The sequence below is a fragment of the Homo sapiens genome, chromosome 3, assembly GCF_000001405.40.
Source record: "Homo sapiens chromosome 3, GRCh38.p14 Primary Assembly".
Lineage (NCBI taxonomy): Eukaryota > Metazoa > Chordata > Mammalia > Primates > Hominidae > Homo > Homo sapiens.
The window spans coordinates 15,630,901-15,643,021 of record NC_000003.12 but is presented as its reverse complement, the minus strand read 5'-3'; the positions used below and the strand labels follow the sequence as shown (position 1 = coordinate 15,643,021).

The 12,121-nt window shown below is 43.5% G+C and overlaps 1 protein-coding gene across 41 annotated transcripts in view; it reads right to left on the bottom strand.

Annotated features, from left to right (window-relative positions):
- BTD (biotinidase) overlaps positions 1-12,121 on the bottom strand; it is a 121,156-nt gene that overhangs the window by 79,495 nt on the left and 29,540 nt on the right. For 17 of the 41 annotated variants that reach the window (NM_001407365.1, NM_001370752.1, NM_001407379.1 and 14 more), the window contains 2 exons: positions 7,334-7,598; positions 965-1,114 (listed from right to left, as the gene is read on the bottom strand). In NM_001407365.1, coding sequence (NP_001394294.1) covers positions 965-1,114; positions 7,334-7,582 — 399 coding nt within the window. In that variant the 5' untranslated portion in view covers positions 7,583-7,598. Of the gene's footprint in view, positions 1-708; positions 1,115-1,841; positions 1,905-7,333; positions 7,599-10,155; positions 10,432-11,526; positions 11,596-12,121 lie in introns of those variants that run through there. The other 24 variants (NM_001407366.1, NM_001407369.1, NM_001407378.1 and 21 more) reach the window with 6 other exon arrangements.

The following is a 12,121-nucleotide window of genomic DNA, read 5'->3' as shown; positions in this document are numbered from 1 at the left end:
GAGTTTTGCTCCTGTTGTCCAGGCTGGAATGCAGTGGCGCGATCTTTCTCACCGCAACTCCTGCCTCCCAGGTTCAAGTGATTCTCCTGCCTCAGCCTCCCAAGTAGCTGGGATTACAGGTGTGAGCCACCACACCTGGCCTGAGGGATTTCATTTCTAAAAATTTTATTTTACAGAAAAACTTGAACATGTTTACAAAAATATAATAGCAAAAATTTAAAATGAATAAGCATATAGTATGCTTAAAAAGAGGATGTCAAGGCCAGGCACAGTGGCTCATGCCTGTAATCCCAGCACTTTGGCAGGCCGAGGTAGACAGATCACAAGGTCAGGAGATCGAGACCATCCTGGCTAACATGGTGAAACCCCATCTCTACTAAAAATACACACACAAAAAAAATTAGCCGGGCGTGGTGGTGGGTGCCTGTAGTCCCAGCTACTCGGGAGGCTGAGGCAGGAGAATGGCATGAACCCGGAAGGCAGAGCTTGCAGTGAGCTGAGATCGCGCCACTGCGCTCCAGCCTGGGTGGCAGAGTAAGACTCCATCTCAAAAAAAAAAAAAAAAAAGAGGATGTCAATAACTATGAAATGCATAGAAAAGAATACAACTGAATGCACATCAAATTGTTGATGGCAGTTTCTCTAAGCAAGGGCATGGGATGAGGTGCAGGCTGTGGTGAAGATGAACTTTTCTTTTTTTACTTTTGGTTTGGTTTAAGTATACATTCCTGTATTTATTGTGTAATTAATAAATGGAAAGATCCATAGATGAATAACTGCCTTGTAACGTCAGACATTCTTTAATGGAATGAACATGTGGCACATGGATCTTTGGGAGTTTGGGTTGGATTTTGGGGATGTTAAGGTCTCCTATCAATCTTAGTTAACATGTCACAGCTTCTGGTCCCTGACTTAGATCACCTCTGTGTACCCTCAGCCTACTGAGGAAAAAGGCAGGAATCACCTCTGTGTCATTGAAGCGGTGAGGCTCCAGGCATGGGTTCCACCTGACCACCTGGGGAGACGGCATGAAGTCCAAAAATGGATAAATGGATGTTCTTGTAAAGTTGAATCCATGAATGCCATCTTCTGGAAACACTATAATCTGTACATCCTGAAAATGAAAACATCAAAGAATAGTCTGTTATCAGATGGCAGGAAGAACCGCTGCATTCATTCATTCTTCTGTTCATTCTTTTGGCAACCATCAGGAAGTTACTCTGTAGCAGGAACCAGAGGCACAGAGATGGTGTCTTTACTCTCCTCAGAGATCTTAGTCTTGGGGATACTGTCTCACTCCACCTGATCCCCAAGGAACAAAGACAAAGTCCTCTAGGAACAACCATTAACTGTGCCTGGGGTCATGTGAGGGAAGGAGGGAATGTGTAAGCTCCATTGAAAGTAAGCTCAGGAGTTTGACAAGCGAATAGCTAGAAAGGATTTAGAGTTCTTAGGATACCAGGGGAGATGGGGCCAACTACTGGGCCTTGAATACATTGGGCCCATTAACACACGTGGTATCTTCAGTCTGGTGGTTGTCAACTTCCATTGTGCATTTAAATCAGTTGAGGAACTTCTGAAAAACCACTGATGCCGGGACCACCCCTACAAAGTCTGATTTGATTGACTGTGGGTGGGATAGTGGCAACAGTGTTTGTTTAAAGGTCCCCCGGGTGATTCTCATTTGTAGCCAAGGTTAGGATCCACTGGGCCAGTGGGTAAGAGGCAAGTGTGCTCATCTCAGCCTGGAAACAAGAACTCGCTTGAAATCTCCATTCCCCAACTGGGAATTAGGAGGCTCCCTTCGGGACTCTGACCACCCTAAAGGCCTTTTCCCACACCTGGCAACATCCTGTGTTCCCTGGCTGTGATGGCCCGGAACTCCCTGTGACATCTACAGCAACCTAAGAAAATACAAACAGGGCCGCCCTCAGCTCTCAGGGCTGGGGCATCATTCTTCCACTGCTCTCCACTTACAGGGTTTAAAATGTCAAGCCGGGAACACCAGCCCCAGGGAGGAAGGTGGAGAAGGCAGGCAGAGAAGGCATGAACAATTCAAATTAGCAAAGTTTGAGACACTTATTTCTGGAATGCATTGCAAACTTTTAAATTTTTTTCCTGGTTATAAAAGCTTCAAAAGTTTTACTGTAGAAAATTTGGAAAACGGGAAAAAACAATCATAATTCTATAACACAGATACTTATTGTTAATATTTTGGTTATTTTCATTACTTTTTCTCTCTGTATACATGTATGTGTGTATATAATGGAGATAATAATAAATATATGGTTTTACATCTTGACTTCCCTCATTAAGAACTTTAAAAAATACGGCCAAGCATGGCAGTTCACGCCTGTAATCCCAGCACTTCAGGAGGCCCAGGTGGGCAGATCACCTGAGCTCAGGAGTTCAAGACCAGCCTGCCCAACATGATGAAACCCCGTCTCTACTAAAAATACAAAAATTAGCCAGGCATGGTAGCGGGCACCTGCAATCCCAGCTACTCAGGAGGCTGAGGCTGGAGAATCACTGGAACCCGGGAGGCAGAGGTTGCGGTGAGCTGAGATCGCACCATTGCACTCCAGCCTGGGTGACAAAGTGAAACTCCACCACAAAAAAAAAAGGAAAAAAAAAAAACTTTCAAAAATCCATTTGTAATGGGGCCACATCATATTTAAGAGGACGCCATAATTTATCCTCTATTATTGGAATTTGAAGTGTTCCCAACTTTTTGTAATAAAAAGAAAACTGTGGTGACCATCTGCATAGTGTGCTCAAAACACTTATTGCATAATTATACACTTCACACAAATCTTTGATTGCATCTTTTGATTATTTCTTTGGAATAAAGTCTTACAAGTGAAATTACTGGATCAAAGGGTATAAAAATTAGAGTTTTAAGTTTTGTTTTGTTTTTTGAGAGAGAGTCTTGGTCTGTCGCCCAGGCTGGAGTGCAGTGTTGTGATCTCGGCTCACTGCAATCTCCGCCTCCTGGGTTCAAGTAATTCTCGTGCCTCAGCCTCCTGAGTAGCTGGGATTACAGACATGCGCCACCACACCTGGCTAAATTTTGTATTTTTAGTGGAGATGGGGTTTCACCATCAGGCTGGTCTCAAACTCCTGACCTCAAGTGATCCGCCCGCTTTGGACCCCCAAAATGCTGGGATTACAGGCATGAGCCACAGCACCTGGCCTAAAAATTAAACTTTTAAGTTCTTAACACACACTGCCAAACTGCTTTCCAGAAATACTATACCAATGTATGTTCCTTCCAGTACAGTATCATCTCATTGCACACTTAGCAATGACCATGTAAAGAAAAATTATCTCAAACCTAAAAATAAGGCAAGATGGAGATGCAGCCTTTCCAAATTATACTAGGGTACTGTTTAATAGGCTCACTCAATTATTCTTTAATTAGCTGGAGAATGTACCACCGTTTGACTTTGCTATTTAAAAGATCACCTCAAAGATTACAATGTTTTGCCCTATAGGACATTACCCAGTTTTGCATCTATTAGGAAATTCATTTCAACAATCACTGGACTGACTGATATACACATTTCCATTCCTTGAATTTTCCTTTGAACCAGCTTTACCATCTTACTGGTTCCTTAATTAATGAATTAAATAAAAGCTTTATTCATTCTATATTTGTATGAGTCATCTTTTCAGATTTTTGAAAATTATATTTGGATAGACATTTTTCTTTATTAAAAACAAAACTTTGGTTTTTCATGGAGAATAACATTTAAATTATGTATACATACTAGATTATTATCAACCAGGAATGAGGAGAGGAACCAAACCTGAGCTGGGCAAAATTTTGGGTCTGATGTGATGAGTAATCCTATCTAGGAAGTAAGTTGCATTCTTGATAAATGGCTTCAGCAATTTTCTGGTAGATCTCAATGAGATCAAGAACCCCTTCCTTCTGAGGAATGAAGGTTACAATCCCAAGTGACTGCCCAGCCTAATCATCTTGAAACTAGACTCCGTTTTTCCCCTATGAATGCCCCTACTGAGACAGAAATATAGTCATGCACTGCATGATGACATTTTGGTCAATGACAGACCACATATGTGATGGTGGTCCCATAAGATTATAATACTGAATTTTTATTGTACCTTTTCTATGTTTACATATACAAATGCTTACCACTTGTTACAACTGCCTACAGTGTTCAGTACAGTAATATGCTGTAAAGGTTTATAGCCTAGGAACAATGGGCCATACCATATAGCCTAGGCGCATAGTAGGCCGTACCATGTAGGTTTGTGTAAGTACATGCTATGATGCATGCACAATGACACAATGGCCTAATGATGCATCCTTTCAGAACATATCCCTGTCATTAAGCAATGCATGACTGTATTTCAATTGGTTTGCTCAGGAACCTCTTATAACAACTTTGATATAAAACTTTCACACAAACTTGCCATCAATTTGTCTTAGAAGTTGTTTTAAAACATATAACCAGATTTGCTTAATACCCTGTACATATCTTTGATTTCAACCCTTAGTACATGTGGCTTGGTCACTTTGTGGCTAAGATAAGAAAGTGCTTGTGGAAGACAAGTCTGTGGCTTGGTGAGTCTGCGTGGCCAGCAGTCTCTGATCTGTGCAGGGTATTAATACGTCAGGGCTGCGTGTTCTGGGATTTCTCTGGAGGCTGGCAAGGGCTCCTGAACCAGTTGTTTCTGTTCTGCCGGTCTGTAAGGGTTGGAAAGTCCAAGACTTAGGACCCAGTTTCCTTTCTTAGCTGATGTTTTCTGCCAGAACACCATGGGCTGTTACTTGTCTGAGTTGAAAGTGGTTTGCATTTACACCTGTAAATGTATTCATCCTTTTAATTTATGTAAGGTTTTTCTGTATGCAATTCTCGATTCTTTGAAGAGATGACAACAAATTTTGGTTTTCTACTGTTATGTGAGAACAATAGGCCCCAGCAACATGTCATCGTGTAAGGAAAAATAAAAGTGCTGCTGGAAAACAAACAAACAAAAAACATATAACCACGTATGGGAGCTGAGATATCTGTAAATTCTAAAAGTGATCATATCAACAGCTTAATCCTGGCCCCTGGAAAACAAATAGAGACGGAGTGATGCTGTGCAGCTGGCGTGGTTTCAACAAAACCGTGTTAAGTGTTTCCTCTGGGGGCAGATTATTGAAAGGTGAATGCAGGAGAATTCTACAGCCACAGTCTGGGTTTCAGTGTGTCATTTGCCAAATGTCTCAGAATGGTCCGGTGGATAGGGGAGGGAAGCAAGAGGCAGATGACATTTCAGGTGCTGGACTCAGTGCCATGCAGGCAAACATCTCTATCAAGAGAATGCCTGCCCTCTAGGAGATCAGTGTCATCAGGAGGTCTGAGGGCACAGCCTGGGGTTTTTTTACACTGACTTCAGCATAGACATAAATGAGGTGTGTATCATATGTGTGAATGACGTAAAGGTAACTGATACTTGGGATGTCAGTAAAGATCCCTAAATAGCCCAACAGGCTGGAATGATGAAATTTAACAGCATAAATGTGAAGTCTTGCCCTCAGCTTAAATCAATCACCTTTATAATTTATAAGTACAGGATGGCAATGGCAGCATGTGTGTCTGCTCATGTGAAAAGGTGTTTTAGTTGACAGCAAGTGCCTTATACACCCATAATGAGACATGTGGCTGCCAGCAGTTTTCTGGGGACAACATCTAGAATGCGACAGGTGAGAGTTCTCTACCCTGCCCTTATTAGACAGAATCGGGATAGCTGCATACAGTTCTGAGCACAGAGAAAACATGGAAGTCTTCAGTAGAAGGTTTGGAAACTGAGTCTCCTAAGGAACTGTGGAAGGGACTGAGGATACAGCCTGGGGGACAGATGCCAGGGGGATCATGACAGCTGTCCTCAAAGGTGGAGAAGATGGCATGCCGTGATAAGGGACACGGTCCTGCTCCCTTTAGCTCTGACGATAGAATCGTGGTGGCAGTTACGGGGAGGCTGACTGCTGCTCATTGAAAGGAAGACCTGTTCAGAAGTTCCCACCATTGGAACAAACGGACCTGTGAGTCTGAGCCACTGAAGGTGTTCAAGGAGAAACCGTATGTCAGGTTGGGACTAAAGAAAAGTGTCACCCTTGCAAAAGTTGTCTTGGTTGAAAAAAAAGAAGCTGGACCAAGTCTTCAAGTTCCCTTTCAACATCATGTTATACACACATACACACCCCCTGCCCCCAAACACCCCCCCACCCCATACACATAGCCTTTGTATATATATTATAGACTAAAATTTTAAAATGTTGCAATTTTTTAATTGCTGTGGCTGTCCAGGCCATCCCGACCACCCTGCTCTAAGGCAGGGACTGTTTGGGGCAGGACCTGCTGGTTCTGCCCTTTAAGTTCACAGAGAGCAGGAAAGTGTTGCTCACAATGAGTTTACATCCTGTTGAGGCACAGCAGGGCTTCCTCAAGCAGCTGCGCTTGGTCACCCTGCCACCAGAGTTACAGCCCAAACTTCCCTTCGGGTTTGTGTTTTCCAGCAGGGCATTTTCTTAGGCAACCTCTGATATTTCCCTCTTTGCCCCCAGGGGGGCCTCTCCTTTGTCCCCACCCTTCCTGAAGGGAGCAGGAAATTCAGGCCAACCAGGAAGCCTTCACAAAGGCTGGCACTGACCTTCCCTTTGTCAGTTTGGGGTCAGTTCTATCTGGGCGAAGGTCTCAGACTGATCGTAGTCCGACATAGAGACCGGAAACGAGCCTCAAACAGTCTGAAGGGAGCAAACGGCATTCTTGCAGATGCTTACTACTTCAGTGAAGCTTCGAATGACTCAGAGAGGTCATCACGCCCAGTCATCTTCAAATTTTTCTGCACATTAGACTGCACTGGGGAGCCTTAAAACAATCCCAGTGCCAGTCCACACCCCTTCCACACCAATTACAACGGACTCTCCAGGACCCGGGCAGCCATAGTGTTTACCACTTACCTCGTGATTCTTATGTACAACCACACTTGAGAACTGGGGATCTAGTCCTGGGCTTCTCATACTTGCCATGTGAAAGCATCACCTGGGGATCCTGCTGCAATGCACATTCTGATTCAGTAGGTCTGGGGTGCCGCCCAAGATTTTGTATTTCTAACAAGCTCCCAGGGGATGCCGGTCCACGGACCACTCTCTGAGGGGTAAGGCTCCTAATTCAACTGACTAACTCAACTCAGGTTAACTACCTGGATGCTTTTTCAGAGGGTGGTAGGAAGCCTGGGATTACCCAACCACTGATCAAGGGGTAAAGAGCAATCTGCTCTGTATGAGAGAAACTCAGGTTCCGAGGAGCATTCTTGCCTTTTGGGCTGCAGTCATCACTTGCTGTTCATAGATGTCAAGGTTCTGGTTCATGAGCTCCAAGGCCTCTTGGCGGCTGATGAGAGCCAGAGGGTTCAGACTCAGGATGGATGGATGCTCATACACGGCAGCCACATAATATTCAGCCTCGTGATGGTCAGCCACGCTCTCCTCCCCGGTGTGGGCTCCCAGGGCAACCACGTAACAGCCGCAGAGGAAAAGAGCAAGCTTACTTCTGGCTCCAGACATAATGCAGACCACAAATCTGGAATGTAATGGGGCAAGGGGAAAACAGCTGAATAAAGAATCCTGCCAAGAATTTAACGTTTGCAGCTGTGATTTATTAATCCCAGCAATTAAACTCACTCGCAGTGATACTGCGGCTCAAAGAGTTTGTTTCATGTTCCTAATAAAAGAGTATGTGTTTCTCTCCAAACACGTAGCAAGCCACATTTAAAATGGCTCACTGTGTTAATAGTCTGGTTTTAGAACATTTCCAAAACAGACTCAACGTTTGCTATGATTTTCTTACCCAGTGTTCAGCAAGACTGTAGTGCGTCACTACCCACTTTTCTAGCTGTGCACTTAGATTTTAAGCAGTAGTAACTATCCAGATTATTTGACATAATTCTGTGATATATTTCACACTCTACCCTCTGCCCTCTATCCATACTACAGGTCAGCCATCCGTAATGTCTGTGATTGTCATGACCCTAATAACACAGCTTGGCTTTCCTGGCCATCAAAACCTAATGAATTACAATTCTCCCTGCATTTCTTTGGTTAGTAATAAATACTATGGATAACTCTCCCTTTATTCAGCACAAAATTATTTATTTGGTGCCAAGAAACTGCTGACTTCTACATAAATGCCAATAGCTACTTTCTTTTATAGACAAGCAAAGTATCCCAATAAAAGCATGTTATTTTTTCTCCTTGAACTTGAGAATCGCCATTGCACATTATCACTTTCTTAACCCCATCTCTGTGACTCCAAAACTCTTGCTCAAAAGCCTACTCATTTGGAAATAAAATCCTTTTTGCAGTGATAAAATGCAATTTTCTAGAAAATAAACTACAAATTTCCAGAGAGTAAACTCAGCTTCATAGCTTCTACCAGAAAAGACTAGAAATAAATGATACTTCTGTGTGTCTCCTCCTTCCTCCCAGAATAGGAATGTTTCTTTCTAAACAGTGTGCATTACTGTTTTAGAGTAAATAGTCCAATTCTGCCTTTAAAAATCAGCCTGGCCTCCCAGCTAAAGCGTCCTCTCAGGCAGAGATTTACTGGGTAGTGTGCCAAGGCCAGGCCACCTGCCCATGGAGATGTCCTGGGGCTGAACAACTGCCCAGGAATCCGGATTAAAAGTCAAGATAACAAAGACAAATCAAAGAATCATATTGCTGCCCTTTAAAAAGAAAATGACACCCTGTCCAAGTCTCAACTCATAACTCCTGTGTTTGCATTTTAAAACCAAACTCCCCAGGCTACAAATTTCTTTATTTTTTATCAAAAGTTCCAGAAACAAACCATAGCTCTTTTCGTCAACAGACTAAGAACTAGAAATGCTCATCTTGGCAAAATTAAATATTCCTCAGAATGAGAAGTATTCTCCCACCCCAACCCGGTTCCATCTCAAACTGTTATTTCTTTCCCCAGGGAAATGTACCATCCAAACACCAAACCCCAGGATTTGTTGCCATTCATCTGGGACACTGTAAACAATGTTTTAAGATAAGAACAAGGAGTCTTTGAGTGAGCAGTCATGAGTTTTTGAGTAGAAACAAAAGTATAATTGATAAGCTTTCTTATCTGAATTTTGCCTCTAAAGACAAGCAAGGAATAATTTAAAATGTCTCAGAAACCCATTTTTCCATTCCATCTCTGGTTTCACAATGATAACAGAGAGTGATTTTGGGGGCAAACTTTCATCTTCAAAGTCATACTGACAATATTTCTGAAGTATAACGCAAAGGCCTCACTAAGAGGTATGGAAACTGAGGCCAGGAGAGGAGGGTATGAACCAGTCCCCAGTGGGGGCAAGTGAGGAGTGCCTGGGGCCAAGAGTGGCATTCACATTACATCTCTTTCTCAACTGAGAGCTGGGTACCACCGATGTCGGGGTACAGAACATTTGTTTATGTCTAAAGGACTTGCAATCCAGCAAAACAAGGAAACCGCAAAATCCGCAAGGTATCACATTTCTTTCTATCTGGAGAAGATAAAATTTATTTTACAAAAGGAGCCCGGTAGGAGAGCTCTAAGTGGCAATCATTTGTGTGTGAACAAAGGTAGGTCGATAATAAGAGGTTATGCAGATTCAACCAGGTATTCATGCTTGAAAGAACCAAGCTTAATGAGGTAGAAGAGAATGAGTAATTACAATAAAAATAGGTCTAGTCAGCCGGCCCTCAGTATCCATTGTTTCTGCATCCATGGATTCCACCAACCTTGGATTGAAATTACTGGGGTGGGAGGGGGAGGAGGGAGCCCAATAAAAATAATAGCACAACAATAAAAAATAATAGCAATTTAAAAAATACAGTATAACAATTATTTATATAGCATTTAGTTTGTATTAGGTAGTGTAAGGGATCTAGAGATGATTTAAAGTGTACAGGAGGAAGTGTTTAGGTTACATGTAAATTCTACACCATTTGATATAAGGGACTTGAGCATCTGAGGGTTTCGGTATCCACGGGGTCCTGGAACCAGTCCCAACAGATACTGAGGGACAACTGTACATCAATTTGCCCTTCCCAAAGAAACATTTTACCCAAATTAGCAAATGCTGCTTTTCTCTCTTTGGCATCACACATACCTTCTCAGGAAAAAGTAAATAGGGCCTGTGGCAAGGACTCTGAAGGGTTCAGCAGGCAGCAGCGGGAGGTGCTCAGTTGTAAAGTGGCAGGACTAGAGGTAGGGCTGGAGGGGCCCAGGCATCCCCCAGAAGCCTTCCAGCAGCTACCAGGTGCTGGCCCGTGAGGTTATGCACGGGACGACTGGGGTGCGGGGCCTTCCTGGGAACAAGGGGCCCTGGAAGTCATGGGGTTCTTGGAAATACAGCAGCTGACCCATCTTTAGAGCTGGTCAGGACCTGGACCATAAAGAAAATGGTAACTAGAGGTGTGACAAGGTGGCAATGTACTTGCTTTCATTGAAGGGCATCTGACATAGGAGAGTAAACTGCAGGAAGGGTCCAGTGTGAAAGCACAATTGAGGCAACCATGTGCACGCCCTCTGAGATGAGGGCCTTGGCTCGTGGGGTGTACTGAACCCCACTTCCAGGGAACAGCAGAACCAGGAAGGTGCTGGCTTCAGACAGCCATGCAATTCCCAACTGTGGGCCAGCCCCAGGGGTTAGGTGTCAGGGGTCCAACAGTGGACAAGACAGACCCTTCCTCGTGGGGCTCGTGCTCTGGATAACTGTGTGAGATGGTGATTAAGCACAAAGGAGAAATGAGGCAGTGAAGGTGGTAAGGTGAGGCGAGGGGGACAATTTTAAGCAGTGTGGTCAAGGAAGACCTCGATGAGAGGGTGATGTTTGGACCGAGGCCTGAAGGGGGTTCGGGAGGAAATCACGTGGGTCTGCGAGGTGAGAGCACGGCAGGCAGAGAGCCTGAGGCAGGAGCATGCCTCACGGGCGGGTGCAAGAAACAGCAAGGACAGCAGGGGGCTGGAGCCAAGGGGACAAGGAGAAAGTGGCAGCAAAAGGAATCACAGAGAGAGAAATGACAGGGACCTGCTTAGTGGTCTCCTAACATCCCCCTGCATTTGTCCTCATCCTCTTCCATTCTGGACTCATAAGAGCAGCCAGTGAGATCCAGAGAAAGCCTGAGTCTACCAAGGTGCACCTCTGAAACTCTTCCAGTGACTCCCCAGTTCACGTAGCGCAGAAGTCAAAGTCCTTACAATAAGCCAATAGAAAGCATCTGGGAGACAGGAAACACTTGGCAGGTGGGGAGAGATGCAGAGTGGCATCTTGAAGTAAGCATCCTGATCTTGGACGGCCCTACAGAAGCTCTGCTTCTGATTTCATAAGGAAAACATTCCCCCAACACCAGTCCTGATCAGGAAGGTTCTTTCCATCTAATAGGAAAAATCAGTCTCAATTACATGGAAATCTATTTCATGTAAATTTGGTAATATGTCAATCACTAGATATTTTTACACACAAGGGATTTTTCCCCACCTTGCTAAATGATTCATCTTAATAATTAGCTGTGTTTCCTTCCTAGCCATGCTATTACAATAGTGTCTTCTGAAATAAAATGAGAGGGATTATTATTAAGGCATTCTTAATAATTTCAGAGGCAGATACATACATTAAAAAATCTTTAAAAGATAAATAAAACATCTTTTTAATAAAATATCTTGTCATTCTTTACTTGTCAGGGAGAATAGCAATCCTATGATTAGGAAAGGAGGCAGGAAAAGTTGGCAGAGGAGATGTCACATCCTGTGGAACAAAGCCTGAGGGAACTGCTAAGTCATTAGGAACCGGCATAGTATACATTTCTATGTGTAGTGACTGAATGCCAAGAAAAACATTGGGAAGTTCCAACAGTCTTTAAATTATTCTCATGAATTTCGTGACTTCATTGTCTAAATTCTTTTACATAAACAGGAGAAATAATGTCTATCTTCACCTAATTTATATGATCTGAATTTAAAGAAATCACAAAAATGATCTTTTATTTCCCAGAAAGTCTTCTCTTGCCTCTTGTTATCTGATTGTCACATCTGAGTGTGCTGGTCATGAGCTTGTCCGTGACCGGCCCCTGGAA